The 27,810-nt window shown below is 44.8% G+C and overlaps 2 protein-coding genes across 8 annotated transcripts in view, besides 1 other annotated feature; both read right to left on the reverse strand.

The window, feature by feature from the left end:
• The window catches only part of CD244 (CD244 molecule), a 32,728-nt gene extending 27,619 nt beyond the window's left edge, over positions 1 to 5,109 (reverse strand). For all 7 annotated transcript variants that reach the window (XM_011509623.4, NM_001166664.2, NM_016382.4 and 4 more), the window contains exon 1: positions 4,839 to 5,109. In XM_011509623.4, the coding sequence (XP_011507925.1) occupies positions 4,839 to 4,899 (61 nt within the window). In that variant the 5' untranslated portion in view covers positions 4,900 to 5,109. The remainder of the gene's footprint in view (positions 1 to 4,838) is intronic.
• Positions 4,925 to 4,974: an enhancer, noted in NCBI's record as "active region_1964". NCBI's record gives its function as "activates an Ori minimal core promoter by ATAC-STARR-seq in GM12878 lymphoblastoid cells {active_cell/tissue: GM12878}" and the evidence as "EXISTENCE:reporter gene assay evidence [ECO:0000049][PMID:35858748]".
• Positions 18,762 to 27,402, reverse strand: ITLN1 (intelectin 1). Its single transcript, NM_017625.3, has 8 exons — positions 27,283 to 27,402; positions 27,042 to 27,105; positions 25,650 to 25,748; positions 24,179 to 24,426; positions 23,376 to 23,534; positions 22,810 to 22,930; positions 21,533 to 21,636; positions 18,762 to 19,038 (listed from the first exon to the last, which is right to left on the reverse strand). The coding sequence occupies exons 2-8, from the start codon at positions 27,097 to 27,099 to the stop codon at positions 18,886 to 18,888; spliced, it is 942 nt and encodes a 313-aa protein (NP_060095.2). The 5' UTR covers positions 27,100 to 27,105; positions 27,283 to 27,402; the 3' UTR covers positions 18,762 to 18,885.
• Between the last annotated feature and the right edge of the window lie 408 nt (positions 27,403 to 27,810).

Below are 27,810 nucleotides of genomic sequence, written 5' to 3' on the forward strand. Positions count from 1 at the left end.
GCCCACATCTGTAATCCCAGTAATTTGGGAGGCCAAGGCAAGAGGATTGCTTGAGCCCAGGAGGTCAAGACCAGCCCAGGCAGCATAGCAAAACCCCATCTCTACACAAAAATTAAAAATAAGCCAAGTGTGGTGATACATGCCTGTAGTCCCAGCTACTAAGGAGGCTGAGGCAGAAGGATTGCTTGAGCCCAGGAGGTCAAGGCTACAGTGAGCTGTGATCACATCACTGCACTCCAGCCTGGGTGATAGAGCAAGACCCTGTCTCACAAAAAAATAAAAATAAATAAATAAAAATAAAAAATTAAAAAAAAAAACAAGACATGCCCTGTCTCTCCTTGAAGTGATTTCAGTGGATTCCTTTCTGGATGGTGCTGTAGCCCAGGGTACATTGAATTCCAATCTCTTTTCTGTGTCCAGCTACTTTGCCATTCACCCTTTGTTGGAGGGGAGGTGCAATGAGGAAGAGAAGAGCAAAAACGACTCCAGCCCTTCTACAGCTTGCCTGGATCCCAGCCAAAGCAGTCGCAGTTAGACACCACTCCCTGAGAAGTGACAGTTCCAACACAATCTACGCAAACAGCTGGCAACCCTTGGAGCTAATCTATAAGGTGTCACCTGTGCCCTTTTATTGTCCAGCAGATCTCAACTCAGGCTGTAAAGCATCTGGGGATTCATAGCCTCCAGCCTGTGTGTCCTTTGGGGTTTCCTCAGAACGGACAACTGAAACCTGAATTTTGGGTCTAAAATGAATTTTAGGGCCCAGGCCTATTCCCTGGGCAATGATTTGAAGATCCCTCCTTCCCAATATGTCTAACCCAAAAAACATCCCAGGCTGCCCGTTAAGATGCCTGAAAATAATTCACTTATTCACTCAACAAACATGTTTTGAACACCTACTGCATTGGCACTGCACCAGGCACTAATCACAACTGTAGTAACAGTGACTCAGGCAATCTAGCGCAAGCTCTCTGAACAAACGGGCCCTGGACTTACTTGCCACTGAATCCTCAATAGCCCTGGTTCAGAGCTATTCAAAATATATCCAGAGAAAGAATGGGAACAGAGAGGGGGCTGCTATTGTGAAAATAAGTATCTACTGAGGGTTGACTTGTGGCAGGTACTGCTCTAGATGTTGAGGAGACAACGGTGAGCAAAACAGACAAAAGCCCTGGCCTCAAGGATCTTACAGTCTAGGGGGCTGAAGAGGAGACTGGGAGACAGAAAATGAAAAACATAAGTAAACAGGATGGAACATAAATGGAGATGAGGACTATGGAGAAAAATTAAGTGGAGAGAGAGCTAAGAGTTTGCAGAATGGCAGGCTGACATTTTCAGTGGGGAAGGCATCACTGAAAAGGAGGTATTTGAGCAAAACTCTGAGGGGTTGAGGGAAGAGGCCATGTAGCCAGCAAAGGAGCAGCATCCCAGGCAGAGAAAACTGTGGATACAACAGAGAGCGAGGTCCAGGACCAGCAGGCAACATGGCTGAAATGCTGTGAGCAAGAGGAGAGACAAAGAGGAGTGGGTCTTGGACGCCAGGTCACGCACCATTGTAAAATGCATGGCTTTTACTCTGCATGAAAGAAGAAGTCTTTGGAAGAATTTCGCAATGCTCAAGAGTTATATGCACATCTTACATAAATAGTACTCCTGTTAAATTATTCAGTAAACAAAGTGGTTTTTTAAATTTCACTGTCATCATATGACTCCTGATGGGATGCGCTGAAAAAGACACAGTATCACTTTTGTGGTATTCCTGTCAAAAATGCATATAATATCTGCTGTCAATGGGCACAGAAAAAAATTTTTTTAAAGAAAAAATAATTTTAAAAATGCATATGATGGCTAGGCATGATGGCTCACACTTGTAGTCCCACCACTTTGGGAGACTGAGGCAGGTGGATCGCCTGAGCCCGGGAGTTCAAGACCACCCTGGGCAACATGGGGAAACCCTGTATCTACAAAAAAAAAAAAAAAAATTAGCCAGGCATGGTGGCACAGACCTCTAGTTCCAGCTACCAGGGAGGCTGAGGTGGGAGGATGGCTTGAGCCTGCGAGGTCGAGGCTACAGTGAGCCGTGAGCATGCCACTGCACTCCAGTCTGGGTGAAAGAACCAGATCCTCTCTTGAAAAATAATAATAGGCCGGGCACAGTGGCTCACACCTGGTATCCCAGCACTTTTGAGAGGCGGAGGTGGGTGGATCACTTGAGGTCAGGAGTTTAAGACCAGCCTGGCCAACATGGTGAAACCCTGTCTCCACCAAAAATACAAAAATTAGCCAGGCTTGGTGGCATGCATCTGTAGTCCCAGCTACTCGGGAGGCTGAGGCAGGACAATCACTTGAACCCGGGGGAGCAGAAGTTGCAGTGAGCCGAGATTGGACCACTGTACTCCAGCCCAGGCCACAGAGCGAGACTCCATCTCTAAAAAATAATAATAATGATGATATAAAATAAATAAAAATGCATATGATAACCTGAATCATATGAGGGAACATCAGACAAACCCAGATTAAGGAACCCTCTACAAAACAACTGGCTTGTCTTCTTCAAGAATGCAATATCATGAAAGATGAAGAAAGGTTAAAGTATGGTCATAGACTGAACATGAGAAACATAACAACTGAATGTAATACATGATCTTGATTGCATCTTGGGTCAGCAAAAAAAAAAAATAAAGCATATTCTTGGGACAATTGGTAATATGTGAATATGGAAAGCATATTTGATGGTATTAATGTTAAATTTACTGAATTTGACAATTGTGCTGTAGTAACATGAGAATGTCTTTGTTCATAGGATATAAGTGCTAAAATATTTAGGAGTAAGGGGACATAATGTCACAACTTGTTCTCAAGTGGTTCAGCAAAAATTATTGTACATTTATACACACATATACATACAGCTAGAGAAAGAGAAATAAAGTAAATGTGATAAAATGTTAATTGGTGAATCTAGATGAAAGAAATTCAAGAATCGTTTGAACTATTCTTGCAGCTTCCCTGGAACTTCACAATTATTTCAAACTAAAAAGCTTAAAAATTAAAGAAATAGAGCAGCTTCAGTCAACTTATGCCAGGCCTGCCCTATAGACACAGGATGGAGGAGGAAGCAGCTCAGGAAGACCCAAGTCCATCCCTCCCTGTGCCTAACAAGTCACTCACCAGCTTCACCGTGCAAGGGCCGGCATAGCCAAGCCCAGCTATGGTGCTGAAGCCCTGGGAATGGGGGTGGAGGGAGCATTGCCCTCTGTCACACAGGCTCATGACCTCAGGGTCATAACCTCAGCTTCTCTGTTACTCTCATCCCCACAGCCAGGCACCAATCCCATCAGTCCTCCTTCGGCTGTCTGAGCTGCATTCAAGGATCCTTAGACCAGGTTCCAACCTAGCTCTCCTGCCTAGAATCCTGGGCCACTAGGCCCCCCAACCCACCCACAAGAGCTGCAGGCTCCACTCCTCCCTCCCTGCTCCCTGTTCCTCATCATGCTCTGCCCTAGGCTGCCTGCATCCTTACAAATGTTGAGTCCACCTGAGCCTTGACTGTGTCTTCCTGAAGGACACAAGAATGCTCAGGGACTCGGTAACTGAATTGAGTACCTGGGCATGGGACTTTATTGCATATGGGGCTTCTACCTGGCCCTGAACCCACACAACACTATGCCTCAGTTTCCCCTCTTTGTGCCCAGAGTGTACCCTCCTCTAATTCCACGCTCTCCACCTCCGTGAAGCCCCTGCAGAGTCACTGATCTAAAATGCAGAACCCTGGCTGGGCATGGTGGCTCACACCTGTAATCCCAGCACTTTGGATGGGGGAGACCAAGGTGGGCAGATCACCTGAGGTCAGGAGTTCAAGACCAGCCTGGCCAACATGGTGAAACCTGGTCTCTACTAAAAATACAAAAATTAGCCAAGCATGGTGGCGCACGTCTGTAATTTCACCTACTCGGGAGGCTGAGGCATGAGAATCACTTGAACCCGGGAGGCAGAGTTTGTAGTGAGCCAAGATCACGCCACTGCACTCCAGCCTGGGTGACAGAAGGAGACTCTGTCTCAAAAAATAAATAAATAAATAAAAATTAAAAATGAAATAAATAAATTAATTCAATTAAATTAAATGCGGGATCCAGGTTTCAGAGCATCCTGGACCCCAGAACTGGAGAAAGAGGGGAGCAGCCCTCAGCTGGGATCCCCAGGAGTAAATGTTAGATGGCTCCATGCCTGGCTGACAGCTTTAGGTTTGCTGTGGAGCTTCCTCATATTGTCTCCTTCTTCTGCCCCAACCCTGCATGTCCCTAATAATTTCCAGGCTCCTGTGGCATCTGGATGGCTGAAGAAGCCGGGGAGATGAGGGACCATGCCTTCCAGCTTCTTCCTGGCTGCTGGCCTCGCCCTCCCCTCCCTGGGCTCAGCTTTCCTGCCTCAGGGGTCCATCCATCTGTCTCTGAGCTCGAGAACCACCCACTTCCTTGGGACTGCTTCTCTTCTCTCATGCCACAATTGGAGGATGCAATTTTCATCATCTTTACAGGCGGCTGGAAGGAGGCTTCTCTCTCCACTACACGGAAGGGTAAATTGAAGCCAGTGGGAAGGAATCTCCTCACCCAAGACTTCCTGGATTGCTGGTGGCAGGGCCAGATACCCCTCTCACAGACCTCCCAGTGCACTGCCAGCCTGTCCTGTCTGATTTAGACTGTCAGAGCTGTCAGGAGCTGCTCGGAGTCAAGTTCCAGATGACTGTGTATGTGGCACAAGCAGAGGCTCTGGCTCTGATCTCCCTGAGGGGCACAGCTCCTAGTCCCTCCCTCGCCCCACGCCAGGTAGGACCTCCTTACCTTTGCCCTGATACACCTTGAGGAGCAGGAGGAGTATGAGGGTGACCACTTGCCCCAGCATTTCCACAGGACAGAGGGGCCAGGCCAGCCCCTCCACCCCACCAGACTCTCTGCCGTGCACGGGCTCAGCAGTCCCCAGTCAGCAAGAGGACGATGGGGAGCAGAACTGCCTTGCAACCTGTCCAGCCACAGTTTCCTCAATTAGAGGCTGTTAACGCCTGCTGTGAGCTGACAAGGCCACTGAGAAAGCCCCAGCGCCTGGAGCTGGTCTGACAGTTCCCACAAGCCAAACTGGTGAAGCTTACCTCAAGTGGGAGGGTGCTTGAAGTTCACAGTGACTCACAAAGCCAGTTTCAAAATTGCATCCCGTTCTCTGCTTCAGCCCAAGAAGTCTTCCAATTCTCTGAATCCTATATGGAGAGACCCCCATGGGGGCCAAACAGCCAGTATCCCCAACTGTTCCATTCCAACAGACATTGTGGAGGTGGAGTGGAGAGGGGCTGGAGGAGGAGTGGGCTGAAACGTAGGGCCCTGGATAAGCGGCTAACAGTGTTGAAGGAAAGGAGGAGTAGCTGAGAGAACATAGGAAGAGACCTAAGGGCTGGAGGCACTAGAAAAATCTAGCAAGCCTGGGGATTCCATGCAAGTTGACACCAAAGTTTAAGCACATGTAAATTAAATTTGTTTCATAAGAATTTGTTTCACACGGGGCACAGTGGCTCACGCCTGTAATCCCAACACTTTGGGAGACTGAAGCAGGCAGATCACTTGAGATCAGGAGATCGAGACTAGCCTGGCCAATATGGTGAATCCCCACCTCTACTAAAAATAGAGAAATTAGCCAGGCTGGGTGGCGTGCACCTGTAATCCAAGCTACTTGGGAGGCTGAGGCAGGGGAATCACTTGAGCAAAGGAGGTGGAGGTTGCGGTAAGCCAAGATCACGCCACTGCACTCCAGCCTAGGTGACAGAGCGACACTGTGTCTCAAAAAAAAAAAAAAAAATTTTGTTTTGCTCCACATTTCCGATCTGTATGCCTAGATTCCCTCCCTTCCTCTTTTTCTACTTTTCTATAGTAGTCCTCTCTTCCCTCTTTTGTCTTCTCCCAGAAGTGACATGGGCCTATTTTTGCTGCCTTCCCATCCATGCTTGGACGCCACCCTCCAGGAAGGCCAGGCAGCTCTGGATCTGCTTAGGCCCCCATGGAGGGGTGGGGACAGCGGCATCCCCCCTCCCCTGGAACACTGTGCTTCAAGGCCAGGCCCCAGGGTTCATGCCTCTTTCTTTCTTCCTTCTGCTTTCCCCTTAACAAATACTTTCAGTTCCCTTCAAGTCCGCTCTTATTCTCTTTTTCCATCCTTTGGTCCATTTCCAGCCACCCTGTCTGAACTGGGCAGGGGGCAGCAGACTGACAGCTTCAGCTGCCAACAGAGGCAGCAGCGGGGCTCTGGACAGAGCGCTGGATTTAGAGTCAAAGACTTGGACTTGCAGCTCCCATTCAGCAACTTACAACCTATGTGATTCTGGCCTTGTTGCTGTCTGAGCCTGTAGGGTCAACAATACATCCTCCCCACCTTCACAAGGCAGTTTTCAGGATCAAATTAAAAATGATACTCCAGAATATGCACACAAAAAACACTGGACATAGATGAGGTTTTTGTGGTTTTGTTTTCATTTTTTTAAGCTCTGAATAGCTTTTTCCAGCGGGTCTAATGGTTATCATCTCTTCTCTCCTTTGTCTGCTCCCAAGGGGCAGCCCTCAACCCTGGGGAATTTCTTCAGAGTTGATCTGGCCATGTCCTTAACCTTGAGAAGTGGTGCACAAGACATGATATAACAAAGAAGGGTAAACTTCCTCACACGACAGGTGGAAAACAAGATCCAGCTGTTGGAACCCACTAATGAATGTGAATTAGGAATCAGCCTCTCCAATCCTGACCCCAACACCAGCTCCATCCTTCCCACCAGGCATGTGGATGACCTATCATCCCCTGGAAACAGAACTCGGAGCAGCTGTACCACTGAGTGTGTGTCTGTCTTGTGGTCCCTGACAAACTCTATCACACAATATCTGCTATTTGTAGGCTGATCGCAGTGGCTCATGCCTATAATCCCAGCACTTTGGGAGGCCAAGGCAGGTGGATCACTTGAGGTCAGGGGTTCGATATCAGCCTGGCCAACACGGTGAAACCTCATCTCTACTAAAAATACAAAAATTAGCCGGGTGTGGTGGTGTGTGCCTGTAATCCCAGCTACTCGGGAGGCTGAGGCAGGAGACTCCTTTGAACCTGGGAGGCAGAGGTTGCAGTGAGCTGAGATTGTGCCTCTGCACTCCAGCCTGGGAGACAGAGCAAGACTCTGTCACAAAAAAAAAAAAAAAAAAAAAGGTGCTGGGCGCAGTGACTCACACCTGTAATCCCAGCACTTTGGGAGGCCTAGGTGGGTGGATTACCTGAGGTTAGGAGTTTGAGACCAACCTGGCTAACATGGTGAAACCCCGTTTTTACTAAAAATGCAAAAAATAAGCCAGGTGTGGTGTTGCATGCCTGTAATCCCAGCTACTTAGGAGGCTGAGGCAGGAGAATCATTTGAACCCAGGAAAAGGAGGTTGCAGTGAGCCGAAATCACGCCATTGCATTCCAGCTTGGGCAACAAGAGCAAAAACAAACAAACAAACAACAATAATAAAAAAAAAAAACAACCTGCCATTTGTTCTACACACTGACCTCCCCAGCCCTGAGCTCTTCAACACAAAGTCTATGCTCTCCTTAGCTTAGTGTTTCCAAGCCTCACCCAGCGCCTGGTTCTTCAGAGTTGATTCGTAGATTGTCAAGTGCTGAAGGAATGAATGAATTCTCTAAGGAAGACATTTCTATTTCCCCTGAGATAGACTGGTTAGCTGAGTCACCATGGACCCTGCCCTCGTGGAGTTTTTATCTTGCCCTTCCTAATTTTTGTGCAGAGAGTCCTTCTGTGCAACTCAGCCACTTTAGCACGAGGACCCAAGACCTACAAAATCAATATAAACCAGAGACTCCCTTAGCTACATTTCCCATACATATTCACGAGATCTTTATAAGTCTGGGACAGGGGACTCAGACAGGGGCATTTAAAGGTTAGCGGCCATCTGGGAATCAAAGGTTCATAAACCCCTGCCCAAACCATGCTTTCATCAAGCTTCGGTGAGTCAAGGTCATTCCAGTAAATCCCACTTCTGATGCCAACTACAAATTTCATGAGTCCCCAGGACCACCCATTTCTGAGACAAATTGCAAGTTTGAGGTCCCCAAGACCATCTTCAGGTTTGATAATTAACTAGAATGACTCACAAAACTCACTGAAAGCTGTTTTACAAATGTTTTACTCAAGCCTTCACAAAGAACCCAACTGATCTTATAGGTATAGTCAACCAATCTTGCAAGAATTCAACAAATAACTTCTGTAATATTAGAGTTTATTAAAGCAAAAAATACAGATGAAAATGAGCCAAGGGAAGAGGTACCTAAGGCAAGGTCCAGGAGAGTCCCAAACAAAGGAGTCAGTCACAGCACTTCCAGTTCTCCTCTCCCAGTGGAGCTGTGCAGACAGGGCCTACTTCTCCCAGAAACTATGTGTGACAATACACACAGAGAATATTGTTAAGCAGGGAAGCTCTTCCAAGTCTTGGTGTCCAGAATTTTTATTGGGACTTGCTCACATAGACATGGCTGACCACCCATGTGGCTGACCATAGTCTCTGGCCCCTCCAGAAATTGAGTTGATGCTATGTGGTCAGAGCTCCCACCATAAATCACATTATAAGCATTGACAATGCTAACAAGGTCCCCAGTAATGAAGATACTCTTATCAAGCAGGACATTTCAAAGCTTAGAGATTACCTCCCAGGAGCCAAGGGCAAAGGTTGGGCCTCTCTTTGAACAAGGTTAATCCTTTACTGCACCACTGGAAAGAAGTTGTTAAAGTTGTCAAAGATGAACCATTCACAAAGAGCCCAACTGATCTTATAGGTATAGTCAACCAATCTTGCAAGAATTCAATAAATAACTTCTGTAACACCAGACACTAAATGAGAACTCATTGCCTTTATTTCTAACCATCTGAATATTGTCTGTGTTCCTGTTTGAATGAAACCATAACGACACTTTTAATAAGCACAATCTCTTTTTCTGTCTCTTTTTCTCAGAAGGGCTAGAAAATCGCTTTCCCTTCTATGTACATTTATCTTCTGTGGGCTTTCACTTGTTGGAAGAGAAGTAGCCAGTTATTGTTTATTTATTGGCTGTGATAACTTTCAGGTTCAGGTTAAAGGTAAGAGATGCAACAGTCTCATAAAGAAGATGGAAGACAGAGCCTCTCAAAACAATTTATGGGACATCAGATAACGCAGAGAACCCACATCCACAGGAGCAAAGGCTAAAGAGTGCAATCCATGTCTTAACTCATCTCAGAATTCAACATAACAAGAAATTTGCCATTCCCAGATTCAGTGTGAGAAACAGCTCTGACGATGCAGAGAACCGCAGGCTATCTCTCTGACACTAGCAATGTGGTGTGGGAAATGGAATCAATCTCTGCTTCCCTGTGTTGGAACAAAATGTTTCTACGTGAAAAAGGTACAAAAAAGTTTTCCCAAATTGCAAGGGAAATGCACCATAGAATAGCCTCCTATTTAGCCTCCTATTTAAAGATAATTAAATATAAATTTGTCTTATACATTTGTATCTTTTATTACATTGTATAAATCAGAATCTGATTTAGTATGAAATTATATTCTGAGATTTTTATGTTTGACATATTAGTAGACCAAGTGTTTTGCAATTAAAAAAAAAAAAACATAATGACTTCTAAGTGCCCTACCATCTAGTTTGTGAATTTTATCTAGTTTGTGAATTACAAATACAGAAAATCAAAATTGGGGTTATAATGATAAAGTCATTTGTGCAAGCCAATGTTCTCTTTTAATTTTTCTGTGCTACGTTGACACCTAGAAAGAAATGAATGTGATCAAAGTTTAGTGGTGTAATCAGATAAACTTATGATATGGTTTGGCTGTGTCCCCACCAAAATCTCAACTTGAATTGTATCTCCCAGAATTCCCACGTGCTGTGGGAGGGACCCAGGGGGAGGTAACTGAATCATAGGGGAGGGTCTTTCCTGTGCTAGTCTCGTGATAGTGAATAAGACTCACGAGATCTGACAGGTTTATCAGGGTTTCCACTTTGCTCCTTCCTCATTTTCTCTTGCTGCCACCATGTAAGAAGTACCTTTCACCTCCCACCATGATTGTGAGGCCTCCCCGGCCATGTGGAACTGTAAGTCCAATTAAACTTCTTTTTCTTCCCAGTCTTGGGTCTGTCTTTATCAGCAGAGTGAAAACAGACCAATACAACTTACAACCAAATTGTTATTTTAGTGGTTTGAATATCCATAATTGACCATGAAATTGTTTTGACATGACAAAACTTTACTGTGGAGTATTTTATTCTACATCACATTGCTATTTTATTCTATTTCACATTGCTGTTTATCCCTCATGTAGAATCCTCATCAGTGCTGAGAGTTTCCCTGATTCTATGTGTCACTGAACCTACCACACAGGTTGCATGGGCCCACACATTCACATATGAGATTATAGAAGATGAAGAACCTAAAACTGGCTTCCTGTTCTCTAAGAGTTCCTCTTCTTCTTCCCCTATCCGTGTGCTAACTGACCTCCCTACATGATTTTCATGTGAAGCTCTCTGGGTTTTTCTGGCATACCCTCTCCTGCTAAGAAGTTGCCTCTGGCCAGGTGCGATGACTCACACCTGTAATCTTAACATTTTGGGCGGCTGAGTTCAAGAATTTAATGGGCAAAAATAAAGAAGTCTGGTAATACCAAGTATTTGAGGGCATATGGATCAATTGGATCAATTATATACAGCTGATGGGAATGTAAATTGGTACAATTCTGTGGAAATAAATTGGTGTTATCTTGTAAAGTAAAATATTTATAAACTCTAATGATCCAGCAATATGACATCTAGTTATATACCTACATATAAGAGACAGTTTAGCACATATATACCTGGAGACACATATGACAATGTGCATAACAGCATTGTTTTTTATTGGAAAAAAAACTGGAGACAAAACAAATGGCAATGGGAGAGTGGAAAAACAAGATGTGATCTATTCATACAATGTAAATTCAATAGCATCAAAAATGAATGTGGGACAGCACAGGAGAACAGTAGTTACATAATGTCATAGGAAAAAATAAGCACCAGAAGACAATATACAATATGATAGTATTTTTATATAGTTTAAAAACAAAAAATTAAACATATTATTTGGGCATCTGCATGATGTGTGTGCATGATTGTTAAAAAGTAGCTTAAGCAATAGGATCTTAACCACAAATTGAGATAATGGCAACAACTAAGGAAGAAGGGAGGGATGGAGTGACATAGAGGAACACAGAGGTAGGTGTAGATTAATAATAATATTCTAGTTGTTGGGTTGTGTCATGATAAGCGTCCATTGCATTGTGAAACAAAGGAAGGTGAGAGAGAGGTGGACGGGGGTAGAAGGAGAGTGAGAGAGGGAGCTGACCTAGCTGCCATGCGTCTCTGGCTGCTTGTTACAACCACAAAGAAAGACCACTAATACCACCTCATCATGAAACCTTTCAGGTAATCATTAGTGTTGTTCACTCTGATACAATTCTCCTCTTTTGGGGCAGGGTGGGGACATGGAAGGCTGCACTTCTCTTTGGAGTTAAACAGGACCATGTGTCTTGCTCTGGCCAAGCAATGTAAGCAGAAAGTGTCACTGTCAGGCTGAAGCCTTTAGGAGAAGCAAGACACCAGTCAACACACTCCTTTCTCCAGCTTCAGTAAATACCTAAAACACGTAGCATTGGCTTGGTAATAGGCCTACTGATGATGAAGAAATTAATATTGAAGGTTGGAAAGATGGCACTCCATGTTATGTAAGAAGTGAAAATGTTAAGAGTGTTGCCTGTGGCCACTCAAGAAGTGTGTTATATACCTAGTGCCCTTGAGCTCTAAGGGAAGACATCAGGGAAACAGAATGCAACGCTGTGTGCCAGCTGCCTTTGGTAACATATTATGAAAGAGAGGCCCAAAGGAAAATCAGATGGTCTGTTTTGCAAGCAGCAATGAAAGAACTAACTGACTCCGTGTCTTCAACAGGTAAATGGTAAAGAAAGCTTTCATTAATAAATGATCTTCAATAAAGACACACACAAATACATACACGTGGCTGGGTGTGGAGGCTCACCCCTGTAATCCCAGCACTTTGGGAGGCTGAATCAGGTGGATTGCTTGAGTCCAAGAGTTCGAGACAAGCCTGGGCAATGTAGTGAGACCACAACTCTACAAAAAAAAAAATCAGTTAGCCAGGTATGGTGGCATGCCTGTGGTCTCAGCTACCTGAGAGGCTGAGGTAGAAGGATCTCTTGAGCCAGGGAGGTCAATGCTTCAGTGATCTGTGCTCATGCCACTGCACGCCAGCCTGGGCAACAGAGTGAGATTCTGTCTCAAAAAAAGAAAAAAAATACACACACACACACACATGCATGCACACTATAAAAATCTTTCTCTCCATCCACCTCAGTCAAGAGCAAGTATTAAGTGCATTCATACTCTTGTACAACCATCACCATCATCCATCTGCAGAACTCTTCATCTTGTAAAACTGAAACTCTATTTATTAAACAATAATGGCCCATACCCCTTTCCCCACAGCCCCAGGAAACAATCATTCCATTTTTCTGTCTATAAATTTGACTATAGGTACTCATAAAGTGAAATCATGCAATATTTGTTTTTTTCTGACTGGCTTATTTCACTTATCATAATGCTCTCAAGATTCATCCATGTTGTAGCTTCAGTCAGAATTGTATTCCTTCTTAAGGTTGAATAATATCCCTGTCTATAACTATATCTATATATAGATATGTGTACATATATTTGTATATATATGTATGTATACATATATGTACATATATATGTATACATATATACCACTTTTTGCTTCATCTGTCAATGGGCACTTGAGTTGTTTCCGCATTTTAGCTATTGTGAATAATGCTGCTATGAACATGGGTGAACAAATATCTCTTCAAGACCCTGCTTTCAATTCTTTTGGGTATACACCCAGAAGTGGAATTGCTGAATCATATGGTAATTCTATGTTTAATCTTTTTTTTTTTTTTGAGACAGAGTCTCGCTCTGTCCCCTAGGCTGGAGTGCAATGGCACAATCTCAGCTCACTGCAAACTCCGCCTCCTGGGTTCAAGTGATTCTCCTGCCTCAGCCTCCTGAGTAGCTGGAATTACAGGCATGTGCCACCACACCCAGCTAATTTTCGTATTTTTAGCAGAGACGGGGTTTCACTATGTTGGCCAGGCTGGTCTCAAATTCCAGACCTCAGGAGATCCGCCCACCTCAGCCTCCAAAAGTGCTGGGATCATAGACGTGAAGCACTGTGCCCAGCCTATGTTTAATCTTTTGAGGAACCTAATACTGTTTTCCACAGATGCTATACCATTTTACATTCTGATATGGTTTGGATCTGTGTCCCTGCCCAAATCTCATGTCCATTTGTAATCCCCAGTGTTGGATGTGGGGTCTGGTGGGAGGTGATTGGATCATGGGGATGAATTTCTCCCTTTGGTGCTGTTCTCATGATAGAGTTCTCACAAGATCTGGTTGTTTTAAAGTGTGTGGCACCTCCCCCTCCGCACCCCATGCCCACCATGTAAGATGTGCCTGCTGCTCCTTCGCTTTCCACCATGATTGTAAGTTTTTTGAGGCCTCCCAGAAGCTGAGCAGAAGCCGCTATGCTTCCTGTAAAGCCTGTGGAAACATGAGCCAATTAAACCTCTTTTCCTTATAAATTACCCAGTTTTAGATATTTCTTTATACCAATGTGAGAACAGACTAAAACACATTCCCACTGTCAGTGCATAAGAGTTTCCATTTCTCCACATCCTCACTAACATTTATCATTTTCTGTTTTGTTTTGTTTATAGTAGCCATCCTAATGGGTGTAAGGTGGTATCTCATTGGGATTTTGGTTTGCATTTCTCTAATGATTAGGGATGCTAAGCGTTTTTTCATATGCATATTAGGCATTTGTATATCTTGTTTGGAAAAAGGTCTATTCAAGTCCTTTGCCCATTTTTGAATTGGGTTGTTTGGTATTTTGTTGTTGAATTTTGGGAGTTATCTACATAGTCTGGATATTAATTCTTTATAAGATACATGATTTGAAAATATTTTCTCCCATCTGTGGGTTTTTACTTTGTTGATAGTGTGTTTAGGTGCACAACATTTTTAAACTTTCATAAAGCACAATTTGTTCATTTTTTTCTTTTGTTGCCTATGCTTTGTTGTCATAGTCAAGAAATTATTGCCAAATCCAGTGCTGTGATGCTTCTGTCCTATTTTGATCTAAGAGTTTCATAGTTTAGGTCTTACATTTGAGTCATGGGTCTATTTGGAGTTAATTTTTTTTTTTTTTTTTTTGAGATGGAGTCTCACTCTGTCACCCAGGCTGGAGTGCAGTGGCGCAGTCTCGGCTCACTGCAACTTCTGCCTCCTGGGTTCAAGTGATTCTCCTGCCTCAGCCTCCTGAGTAGCTGGGATTACAGGCATGCGCCACCACACCTGGCTAATTTTTGTGTTTTTAGTAGAGACAGGGTTTCACCATGTTGGTCAGGCTGCTCTCAAACTCCTGATCTCATAATCCACCCGCCTTGGCCTCCCAAACTGCTGGGATTACAGGCATGAGCCACCACGCCCAGCCTCAACTTTTATTCTTTTACATGTGGATATTCAGTCTTCTCAGTATCATTTGTTTGAAAACATTGCCCTTTCCCCATTGAATGGTCTTGGCAACCTTGTCAAATATCATTTGGCCATATATGCTAGGGTTTCTTTCTGGGCTCTCTATTCTATTGTATTAGTTTGTATGTCTGATCTTATGCCAGTAGCACACTGCTTTGTGTACTGTAACTTTGTAGCAAGTCTTGAAATCTGGATATCTGAGTCTTCAAGCTTAGTTCTTTTTCATGGTGGTTTTGGCTATTTGGAGTCTCTTGAGATTCCATATGAATTTTAAAATGGGTTTTTCTATTTCTGCAAATAAATATCATTGGGATTTTGATAGATATTGCATTGAATCTATAAATCACTTTGGGTAGTATTGACATCTTAACAATATTAAGCCTTTCAATCCATAAACATGAGATGTCTTTCCATTTATTTAAGTCTCGTTTAATGTCTTTCAGAAATGTTTTGCAAGGAGTCTCACTTCCTTGACTAAGTTAATTCCTAAGTGTGTTATTCTTTTTGGTGCTATTGTAACTGGAATTTTTAATTTTACTTTTCATATTGTTCATTGTTGCTGTATAGAAATGCATATGGTTTTGTTTGTTGACTCTGTATTTTGCTACATTGGTGAATTTATTTATTAGTTCTAACAATATTCTGTGGAATCTTTAGGGTTTTTTTGCATATAAAATCATATCATCCATTAACAGAGATAATTTTACTTATTCTTTTCAATTCAGATGACTTTCATTTGTTTTTCTTGACTTATTCCTCTGGCTAGAACTTCCAGTACTATGTCGAATAGAAGCAGCCAAAGTGGCCATTTTTGCCTCGTTCCTGACATAAAAGAAAATCTTTCACCATTAAGTATGATGTTTGCTGTGGGTTTTTGATCTATGTCTTTTATTTTATTGCATTGTAGTTGTTTTCTTCTCTTCCTAGTTTGTTGAGTGTTTTATCATGAAAGAGTGCTGATTTCTGTCAAATGCTTTTTCTGCATCCAATGAGATGATCATATAGCTATTTTCCTTTATTCTGTTAATGTGATGTGTTACATTGATCAAGTCTCATATATTGAAACATCCTTGCTTTTCAGAAATAAATCCCACTTGGTCATGGTGTAAAATCATTTTAATATGTGGCAGGGTGCTGAGTGTGATGGCTCATGCCTTTAATCCACCACTTTGGGAGGCCAAGACAGGCAGATTGCTTCAGCTCAGGAGTTCAAGACCAGCCTCGCCAACATGGTGAAACCCTGTCTCTACTAAAAATACAAAAAAAAAAAAAAATAGTGATATGTATATATATACATATATATATATATACGTATATATATTTGGTTTGCTAGTATTTTGTCAAAGGTTTTTGCGTCAATGTTCACAAGGGATACTGATCTGTGGTTTTCTTTTCCTGTAGTGCCTTCACCTGGCTGTTATCAGGGTAAAGCTGGACTCACAGAATTAGGGAGTTTAGCCTTCTCCTCAGTTTTTTGGAAAAGTTTGAGAAGAATTGATGTTAGTTCTTCTTTAAATGTTTCTTCACTGGTAGAATTCACCAGTGAACCATCAGGTCCAGAGCTGTTCTTTATCAAGAGATTTTTTATTACTGATTCAATCACCTTATTAGGTATACGTTTATTCAGATTTTCTATTTCTTCATGATTTAGTCTTGATAGGTTTTATGTTCCTAGGAATTTGTCCATTTTATCCAGGTTATATAATTTGTTGGTGTAAAATTGTTCATAAGCCTGGCATGGTAGTTCACGCCTGTAATCCCACCACTTTGGGAGGCCGAGGTGGGTGGATCACCTGAGGCCAGGAGCTCGAGACCAACCTGGCCAACGTGGCAAAACCCAGTCTCTACTAAAAATACAAAAACGAGCCAGGTGTGCTGGCATATGCCTGTAATCCCAACTATTTGGAAGGCTGAGGCACAAGAATCGCTTGAACATGGGAGGCAGAGGTTGCAGTGAGCTGAGATCGCACTACTGCACTCCAGCCTGGGCAACAAAACAAGACCCTGTCTCAAAAAATAATAACAATAACTAATATATATCAAGCAGTAACTATAAGCCAGGCACTCCTTTAAAGGCTGTACGTTATTTCATTTAATTTTTATGAAAACCACATGTGAGGACTTTACTGCTCTTATCTGTAATTTACAGATAAGGAAACTGAGATTCTGATAGACGAAAATTTTTTGAAGGGTCAGATTCATTTAGACCTTTAACAACTTCACTCTCTGGATGTGGGGCACAATGAAAACAATGACGGGTGAAAACTTTCCCAGCTCAGAGATCTCTGTGGTCACGCCAAGGTGGCAGGGAGAATTAAGGGAAAGCCACCTTCTCTGAGAGGTCTTCACTAACATTCCTTTCTGGATTGGGGATCGCTCTCCTGTGTTTCCACAGCTCCCCAGGAAGCTCTCATGGGAGACTTTATCACCTTGCACCTGAAGGGCCCCTGGGCTCCACCACCTGCAGCTTTAGAATTGGGTTTATCTGTCTTCTCTATCACTTCTTTATCACCGTATCCCCAGCACTTAGCCCAGGAACTAGTACACACTCAATGAATATTGTTGGAATTAATTCATAAAGGAATCTATAAAAGAGAAAAACTGTTCACCTCTCTCTCCCACCACCGTCTGTGCACTCCCAGCCAACAGTGTCTGGCACACAAAAGGTGACTCACATACAGGGGAACTCCAACCAGAGATAAAAACATACTCAGGTTTGTCTCCTCTAGTTGGAAGAAGGGCATCTGAGAGTGAAGAGGGACAGAGACGTCTGTGTTTCAGGATAGAGAATGGGGACAAGGGGTAAGAGAGAAGGCAGGAAAGAACAGATGACAGAAAATGAGTTATTAAAAAGGTAGAAAGAACTAAAGAAAGAAAGGCTCTAGAGAGAATACTAACAATTTCTAACCCAGGTCCAAATAGATCTAGTTTAAACAACAAAGAAAACCCTCCCAGACAATTTTTTTTTTGAGACGGAGTCTTAGTGTCACCCAGGCTGGAGTGCAGTGGTGCGAGCTCAGCTCACTGCAACCTTCGCATCCCAGGGTCAAGCGATTCTCCTGCCTCAGCCTCCCGAGTGGCTGGGATTACAGGCATGCGCCCCCATGCACAGCTAATTTTTGTATTTTTAGTAGAGACGGGGTTTCACCAGGTTGGCCAGGATGGTCTTGATCTCCTGACCTCATGATCTGCCCACCTTGGCCTCCTAAAGTACTGGGATTATAGGCGTGAGTCACTGCACCCCACCCCTCCCAAACATTTTCTAAGCAAACTTCTTCCCCTTCCTCTTTCCCTTCTTCTTCCCCTTCCTCTTTCCCTTCTTCTTCCCCTTCCTCTTTCCCTTCTTCCCCTTCCTCTTCTAATTCCTCTAAGGCCTAAGAACTTTAAACTTCATTTTCTAGCCAGTGAGAAGTAATTGACACTTAGAGTGGCGAAGAATTGGAAGGGCTAGTCATAATCCAATTTGCATTGTAGAGGAAACACAATATTATGCCTAATATTTAGTCACGGGTAAGAACTGATGCCATCCCCATCCTATCTGTACCAATAACCCACAGGGGATGATTTGGCCACATGTCTCCTTCTGAATGAGCACCTGCAGATGGGAGCCCAGGAATGGTTAAGCCACTGCACAAGGAGAGTCACCATCATCGCAACATGCCAGCCCATTCTTCCCTAAGGAGAACGCCCAGTCACTAAGGTTAGAACATACTAGATATAGATATTGGGTATATCTCCTTCTTCTTTGGGGCACCCCCCAAAAAATGGACGCTTTTCTCCTTTCGGGTCTTCAGGTTGAGGATACAAATTGATCAGTCCATGTGGGTGAGTTAGGAAGGGTTTGGATAAAATGCTTCCTTTCCCCTTGCCCTGTATGCCTCTGGCTATTTTAAGGGCTATCTGAAAGGGAAGTAGAGATGGCATGTTTCTCTATCAGGATTCCCGAGTCCTAACAGTCCAAGCACACACGCAGTTGAAGTACAATCAGCCAAAGCAATACACATGCTTTCGAAATTTCCTATAGTGCTTCACCCCTACAGGAAAGGAATTCACAGAAACACCAAGCCTTGAGTCAATATGATTTATTGTTTTCTCTTCTGCCATTAACATTCTAGCTACTGGGTAAGTTGTTCTCCATCCTTGGGATCTCATGGTTGGGAGGAGAGGTCTGGGTTCCCTCCCACAAAACTCTCAACGATAGAATAGAAGCACAGCTGCCTCAGTTATCTCACGGCTGCTGCTGTAACCAACATGAGTTCCATATCCACTCCAATCAAAACCAGAAAAATCTCCACACTGCTGGGGACTGGCCTCTGGAAAGTATCCTCCTCCACCAATGCAGTGCTGGGAAACAAAGAGAGGAAGAGGCAGTAATGAGAGATCTGCCAGTGAGGCCAATGCCATCTTAACAGCTGAATCCAGTGATTTCTTTGGTCCTCATCAGACTCTCCATTGACAGTGTTGATCTATTCTTCCCATAAAAACCTCTCTTCCTTGGCTCACACCTGTAATCCCAGCAGTCTGGGAGGCCGAAGAGGGTGGATCACTTGAGGCCAGGGGTTCGAGACCAGCCTGGCCAACATGGTGAAACCACATCTCTACAAAAAATACAAAAATTAGCCAGGTATGGTGGCAAGCACCTGTAGTCCCACTACTCAGGAGGCTGAGGCAGGAGAATTGCTTGAACCTGGAAGGTGGAGGTTGCGGTGAGCTTAGATCACGCCATTGTACTGCAGCCTGGGTGACAGAGTAAGACCCTGTCTCAAAAGAAAAAAAAAAAAACTCTCTTCCTTTAGCTTTAGTGACATTATTGTCTTGACTTCCTTTCAACTTTTCTGAATATTCATGCTCAGAGCCCCTGCCTGTTCTCTTCTTTCATAAATCCTCTAAGTGCTGCTCCCTAGTGGAGGACCTATCTCCCTCTCCCTTATAAACTGCATGACCACTGTGGCCTCAATTACTAAAAATTCACTGATGGCCCCAAAATCTCCATCTCCTGTTGAGATGCTTCTTGTGCTGAAGACCTCAAAGTCCAGCTTGGATCTCTACACAGGAACCTCAAGCTCCAAATGACCAAAATAGAGTTAATTATATCCCTCATTGACCCAGAACCTATTCATCATCCAGACACTCTGACTTCATAAATGACACTCCCTCACCCAAATGAGAACCATGTTATTCTATACTTCCTTGCCCATCCTCTGTATTCAACTGGTGACATGGTTTGGACCTGGGTCCCCACAAAATCTCATGTCGAATTGTAATCCCCAGTGTTGGGGGTGGGGCCTTGTGGGAGGTGATTGGATCATGGGGGTGGTTTCACATGAATGATTTTACCACCAGCTCCTTGATGCCGTCCTCATGATAGTGAGTGACTTCTCATGAGATCTGGACATTTAAAAGTATGCAGCACCAGCCAGGCATGGAGGTTCATGCCTGTAATCCTAGCACTATGGGAAGCTGAGGCGGGTAGATCACTTGAGGTCAGGAGTTCAAGACCAGCCTGACCAACATGGAGAAACCCCATCTCTACTAAAACTACAAAATTAGCCCAGTGTGGTGGCTTATGCCTGTAAACCCAGCTACTTGGGAGGCTGAGGCAGGATAATCGCTTAAACCTGAGAGGCAGAAGTTGTGGCGAGCCTAGATCGTGCCACTGCACTTCAGCCTGGGCAACAAGAGCAAAACTCTGTCTCAAAAAAAAAAAGTGTGTAACGCCTCCCCTGCCTTTGCTCCTGCTCCTGCCATGGGAGACACCTCACTCCTTTTTTGCCTTCTGCCATGATTGGAAGTTTCCTGAGGCTTTCCCAGAAGCCGAAGCCGCTATACTTACGGTACAGCCTGCAGAACCATGAGCCAATTAAACCTCGTTTCTTTATAAATTACCCAGTCTCAGATATTTCTTTTTCTTTCTTTTTTTTTTTTTTTATTGAGACAGGGTCTCACTCTGTCACCCAGGTTGGAGTGCAGTGGTGTGATCTTGGCTCACTGCAACCTCCACCTCCCAGGCTTAAGCAGATCCTCCCACCTCAGCCTCCCAAGTAGCTGAGACCACAGGCATGCACCACCACACTCGGCTAATTTTTGTATTTTTTGTAAAGACAAGTTTTGCCATTTTTCCCAGGCTGGTCTCAAACTCCTGAACTCAAGAGATCCACCTGCCTTGCCTCGCAAAATACTGGGATTACAGGCGGGAGCCACCATGCCTGGCCAGTATTTCTTTATAGCAGTGAAAGAATGGACTAATTACAACTGGTATTCTATTTAAAATCTTTGGAATTTGTCAATCCCACCATTCAGGATTCCTGAGCCTTAACATTTCAACCACAAAAAGGATGGCCTGAGTGAGGTTTCTAGAAGGTGATGTCCAGGACTGTCCCAGCAACTCCCCAGTGCAGTGTGTATCTAGGCAAACCATGGCTAGGGTTGGGGAGGTCCAGGTTTTCTCTGAAATATAAACCTCAGATGAAGGAAAACAACACCTGTGTTTCTCAAGGAATCTCAGCTCTAAAGACTTCTACACAATGTTTCAGCACACAAGCCTCACCCCAGCTCCAAGCGATTGAGTGTTTTCTCACAAAGGCTGAACACCCAGTAATGGTTCTTTTGAAGCCTCACCCCTTGATTTTGGTCTTCAAAGTGACAGGATATGTATACCTGGACAAAAGTTCCCATGGCCCTGGCCCCTGAAGCTCAGCAATGAGCAAGAGAAGGTCACACTCCCACACACGTACACACACACCCCAGTCATACCACACTCAACACACTCACACATACCAACACACACGGACAAACTCGACCTTACTCACAGGTCCCTGCAGTCCCCACAGAGACTCACGTGCTCAGTGTTACATCCGGTGACCCTCATTCCAGCACACAAGGCGTTGGCTGCTCTCTCGTTATTAAATACCCTGAACTGAACAAATCCCGCAGTGAATTCCCCTGAAAACAAGAGGCAGAAAACAGCATTCAAGGAAGATGCTAGAAATTGCTTTCCTTAGGCCAGCCCAGAGGCTCTCGATGCCAAAGCTCAGGCTACAGCCCAACACTCCAGCTGTACTGGTGGAGCCCAGCACCCCTGTGGCCAATGGCTGCTACATCCTGGCCTCAAACTTAGCTAAGAGGGACCTTTTCCCAACCCCAGAGATGAAGAGCTGGTCCTCAGAGAGGGCTCCTCATCTGCCAGAGGCTTGTGAAGAGAAATTCAACTCTGCAGGAAGATCACCACTGAACATCTCCAAGGGCTGAGTTGCAGAAATTAACAGATGTATTCACTCTGTTCCTGTTTACATTTTTCTTTTCTCCTTTATTTTAAAATCTCAACTCCAAAATGTAAATAATAACAGCTTTGAGTTCTATAATATATGCTCAGCCTCTGCGGAGCGTACTATGCTACCAACTTTGGCTTCACACAAAATAAACTCACAATAGAAAAAAAAGTCTCGCCATTTTTTTGGTTGTTCTGTGCACATGGACCTGGCCTGGTCCTAACAAGCTCCTGCAGGGCTGAGAGTGGGTTGTTAGGAGTAAAGAGTCTGGAGTCTGGAGCCTGGCCGGGCGTGGTGGCTCACACCTGTAATCCCAACACTTTGGGAGCCGAAGGGGGCGGATCGCCAAAGGTCAGGAGTTGGAGACCAGCCTGGCCAACATGGTGAAATCACATCTCTACTAAAAATACAAAAATCAGCTGGGCGTGGTGGTGGGCACCTGTAATCCCAGCTACTTGGTAGGCTGAGACAGGAGAATCATTTGAACCTGGGAGGCACAAGTTGCAGTGAGCTGAGACTGCGCCATTGCACTCCAGCCTGGGCAACAACAGCAAAACTCCATCTCAAAAAAAAAAAAAGTCTGGAGCCAAATTTCCTCACCCCAGTTGCTGATTCTTCCACATATGCCTTGTGATCTTCACAAGTTTCTAAACCTCTCAGTGCTTCAGTTTCCTAAAATGAGGTTAATAAAGTTCAGATCTCAAAGGCAGCCATGCAAATCAAGTGGGGCAATATAGGGAACATTACAGGAGAGAACCAAGCTTCAGTCCGATGCATAACTGTTACCTAGCATAGTTGAATGTATTCCCTTTCCTACCAGGAGTTCAGAGGATCATTAAAGACTCACGCTGGCCATAGGGTGAGTAATAAGATGCTGTTTTCTGGGCGTCGCCAAAATCATAGACCACAGGGATCACCGGGCCGTTGTCAGTCCAACACTTTCCTTCTCCATATTTCACTGGATATTTCTACAAAGAACACAGAAAAAGTCATGGAGTAAAGACAATAGCTTTGCCATTACCAGCATCTCCTGGGATGCTGCCATTCATAGAGGAGAAACAATGCTTTCTCAGTAACTGAGATTACTTCAAAACCAGTCAAAATAAGAATCTTTCCATGACACTGCTGCCAGTTAGGCGAGAGCTGTGCTTCTGCGGCAGCCTGGACCACTTCATTATCTCTCTCTCCTTCTCCCTGACCCATCCACACTCTTCCTGCCCCAGCTGTCCTCTCCAATAGGTCCCTTCTCTTGCCTGGCTTAGAATTCCTAAGAGAAGCAACAGAAGCCATCAGCAAATCTGGGTTAGAAGAACATGGGAGACAGACCCATTAAAAAATGACTCCTGCCCAACCTCTAACACTTGCTTCTCTGTACACCCATGAAAACCAGTCCCAGCCAGCAGCCTTCTGTACCTGGTAGATGCCAAACAGATTATGTCCCAGTGTCTGGAGGAAGCCAGTGTCCGTGCGGTACCTCAGCAGGGAGCTGTTTCTCCAGTGCTGCATGGGGGACTTATTGGGCACGTGCCAGATGCCCAGGTCCTTGGCCTGGATGTCGTAGTAGCCAGGGTTCTGGAAAGCAACAGACACTGAGCCTGACTGGGCCAGGAGGTCCCAGGAGGCAGAAGGTCCACACATGCAACTTCAGCTGGACTGTGAGAGCTCTGGACTCCAGATGAGCAGATGGCCAACCATACTCAGACACCCCACTCCCAGCCGATGATCCCACCACACCCAGGGCCCTAACAGCCTTGTTAGGAGGAAGTTGTGATTCAAAGTGTAAATTGGCTGGGTGTGGTGGCTCATGCCTATAATCCCAGCACTTTGGGAGACCAAGGCGGGCAGGTCACTTGAGGTCAGGAGTTCGAGACGAGCCTGGCCAACATGGTGAAACCCCATCTCTACTAAAAGTACAAAAATTCGCTGAGTATGGTAGTGGGCGCTTGTAGTCCCAGCTACTTTTGAGGCAGAGGATCACTTGAACCCAGGAGGCCGTGGTTGCTATGAGCCGAGATCACACCACTGCACTCCAACCTGGGCAACAGAGTAAGACTCCGTCTCAAGAAAAAAAAAAAAAAAAAAAAAGATATAAGTATTTCTCTCTTCTTCTCCAGCCCATCCCACACCCCTACCTTCCAGCCATCCCTCCTGCAGGCTTGTGGCCAGCCACACTCCACTCCTCACCCTCACCCGAGTGGGTAAGAAGTGGCACCAACCTTGTAGTCATCGCTCGTGGCCGCCTCTGCAGATCCAAAGGTGTTGTAGTTGGCCCAGTTGCCGTCCCCCTCTGGGTAGACTGCTTTGCTGCCCTGCTGACTGGACCAGCGATCGCCCACCGTGCACTTCCCACGCATGTCATTCTCGTGCACGCTGGCCACCAGGGTCCAGCCGCCACCCCCAGAGGTCATGTCACAGAAGGTCTGGTAGATAACACCATTCTCAGTGCGGAGAAAATACAGGCCATCTGTAGAGAGAACCAGCCCAGAGCCTCCCTGTCTGAGAGCTGAGGGTTCATTTCAGCCCCATGACAAGAAAGGCCCTAGGAACCAGAGACATGGCCTAAAGGCTCCTGTCCTGACTCACATCACTAAGTGCTCCCAGGGGTACTGGGGCCTCCCTGAGTTCAGAAGATCATGCTCCTGTAACTGAGGCAGAACATAGAATTGTATAAAATCCCAGTGACATTTTTCATAAAGTTAAACATGGAATTATTGTATGACCCAGCAATTCCACTGCAGGTCTATCCCCAAAAGAATTGAAAACAGGGCCTCAAGCTGATGCTTTTACACCAGTGTTCATTGCAGCATTAGTCACAAGAGCCAAATAGAAGAAACAATTCAAATATTCACCAACAGGTGAATGAATAAACAAAACATGGTGTGTGTGCATATATGTATCTGCAGTGGATAAAAGGGAATGAAATATCCATGCTACAGCATGGACAAACCCTCAAAACACTGTGCTAAGTGAAATAAGCCAGACACCAAAGGACAAATACCATATGACTCCAATTACATGAGGTAACTACACTAGGCAAATTCATGGAGATAGAAAGTAAAATGCAGCTACCAGAGACTGAGGGAAGAGAGTTATTGCTTAATAACTCCATGTTATTTTTTGTTTTGTTTTGTTTTTGTTTTTGTTTTTGAGATGGAGTCTCACTCTGTTGCCCAGGCTGGAGTGAAGTGGCACTATCTTGGCCCACTGCAACCTCTGCCTCCTGAGTTCAAGCGATCCTCCCACCTCAGCCTCCCAAGTAGCTGGAATTACAAACATGTACTCCACACCCAATTGATTTTTGTATTTTAGTAGAGACAGGGCCCCACCATGTTAGCCAAGCTGGTTTCAAACTCCTGGCCTCAACTGATCCACCCCTCTCAGCCTCCTAAAGTGCTGGGATTACAGGCCTGAGCCACCGCACCCGGCCCCTCCATGTTATTAAGTACAGAGTTTCTGTTTGGGGCACTGAAAAAGTTCTGCATATGGATAGCTGTGATGGTTGCACAACCTTGAAGGTAATTAATGCCACTGAATTGCACACTTAATGTTGCTTAAAATGGCAAATCTTATGTAAATTATAATATACATATACTTTACCATAATTTTTTAACTAAAAGACAAAAAGACTCCCAGAAGACACAATCCTGATACCCTGACTGAGCTCTGTTTGAATGTTTCATCACTCACCAAATGCACTAGGACATTCGTCTTTGATTTCCTTGCAGCTTCTGGGCAGAGATGGAGACGAAGAACAGGTCCATTCCTTGAAGTAAGTATTAGCCTCATCTAGGGAATACACAGGGTTTATTCTCATTCCCGGTTTGACACAAAACCTACCCTCTCCTATCACTAGTCCCACGCTCATTCCACCACTGTAGCAGAACCTCGCTGCCCGGGTGGTAAGGCCTGAGACAGCCAGTGTCATATCCACTCAGCCCATCAGTGTCACATCCACTCAGCCCATCGGCATCATATCCACTCAGCCCATCCGACCTGACAGCCAGCACAGGCTTAAAGTCTGCCTCCCGCCACAAGACCTGTCCTTGTGCTGGGTCCTGCCCTAAGCACTGAGTAATCAAAGACATTAAAGTTCCCCAGCAAGAGCTTGCCTCTAGAGGGAATTGCTAACAAGTCAACAGAAAATTGTATTGACAAGAATAAATGGTAGAAGAAAGGCAAACTCAAGAGAACAAAAGAAAGACTCTGAGGTAACAGTGGAGAATGGAAACGCCAGACAGTAAGCGGGGCAGTTGCCTGGGAGAAGAAGGCAAGACGGGTTGTCTCATGTCTTAGTCACAGAAGACCTTCCAGTCCAGGTGACATCTTAGCTTATTCTGAGAGAATAAACATGATTTATCAGTAGGAAGCCAATCCAAGGCAGGGAAAACAGCATATCCAAAGGCCTAGAGAAAAAAAAAAAAATACAGCGTAGTCCAGCTGTAGAACTACAAGCTGCTTAATATGGCTGAAACATGGGGTGTGAAGTAGGGAGTGGTGAGACTAATCTCTACTCCAAAAAGTCTGCAAACTATTCGAACAGTCTAGGGGAAAGCTGTGAGGTCAGAGGTGACTGACCTCAGTTTCCTCATACCTAAAACACAGTTAATAAACAGTGCTTTTGCAAAGATGAAGTAAGAAGATATTTCGAAACAGCCTTTTCTTTAAAAAAAAAATTTTTAGACGTGAAGAAAAATATAAATTTTAAAATGTCATTGTTATTCTTGTTGTAGAGAGGAAAACTGTGGAGAGAACATTCTCCAGGCACAAAGCAGACCATGTAGTTCCCATGGAAATCCCACAGCCAAGGCCACAGGAGTGGGCAGTGGCTGGAAGGTGACACAGTTCTTGCCACAGCCCCCTCAGGGCCACACAAAAGCACAGAGCCTGGACCCAGGACATGCCTCAAGCAATACCTTCACTGCCACAGGCCAGATTCCGCCAGAGACCAGAAATCGGCACTCAGTCTACATGCAAGCCAGCCGCTGTGCATCTCAAGGACATGCTCTGTGTCCTGGGAGAGACCAGGATCCCGGAAGTCATCCAGCTGAAGGAACTGCTGTCCCTAGCAGCGTGACTCACCTGTACTCCATCCTCTGGTGGTCGCTATGAGAAACAGCAGGAAGCTGAGTTGGTTCATTGTAATCTAAAGAAAGCAAGATGAAGGTCACCATCTTGGCCATCATTTTTCTCTACATCCCTGCCCCACCCCTGTCCAGTCTTACAAAGACTCCAAAACCCCTTGCCTTTTGTTTAAACTTCACACATCTCTGAGACCAAAAGCAGACCTAAGCTGAAAACAGGATTCCCCCAACTCACAGACCTTGTCTGAGTCTCAGCTGCACTTTCCTTGGGTACAGAGAGCTCCTTCACTCCCTCCCTCCACTGCGCCCTGGAGCTCAACAGAGTGCAGCTTTCTCCAAAAACGCTCCTGATGTGGAATGAGGTGCAGAAAGCTTTATGGAGGAAGCCCAGTGGGGCCAACCAAGGTTTCCAGCCTCACCCTCCCCTGGCACAATGCCCAGTGCAGGGGAGGCTTCTGGTTATCTCGGGGAGGTTATTTATACAGTGGAATTAACAGGTTCTAAAGAAAAAACCAATCCTAAGAATCACCTGCTAGCGTTGTTCCTGGATCTGGGGGTTTCATGGACCTGTGTCAAGTAGGAAGTAGACGAAGAGATTAACAAGAGTTGGTGTTGGTTTTGGGTTTTTGTGCCTTTCTTTCTTGCAAAATAAAAACTTTCTCTAAATTAAGCATCTGTTGGCTTGGCACATTGGCTCAAATCCCAATACTTTGGGAGGCCAAGGCAGAAGGATCACTTGAACTCAGGAGTTTGAGACCAGCCTGGGC

The sequence above is a fragment of the Homo sapiens genome, chromosome 1, assembly GCF_000001405.40.
Source record: "Homo sapiens chromosome 1, GRCh38.p14 Primary Assembly".
Classification (NCBI taxonomy): domain Eukaryota; kingdom Metazoa; phylum Chordata; class Mammalia; order Primates; family Hominidae; genus Homo; species Homo sapiens.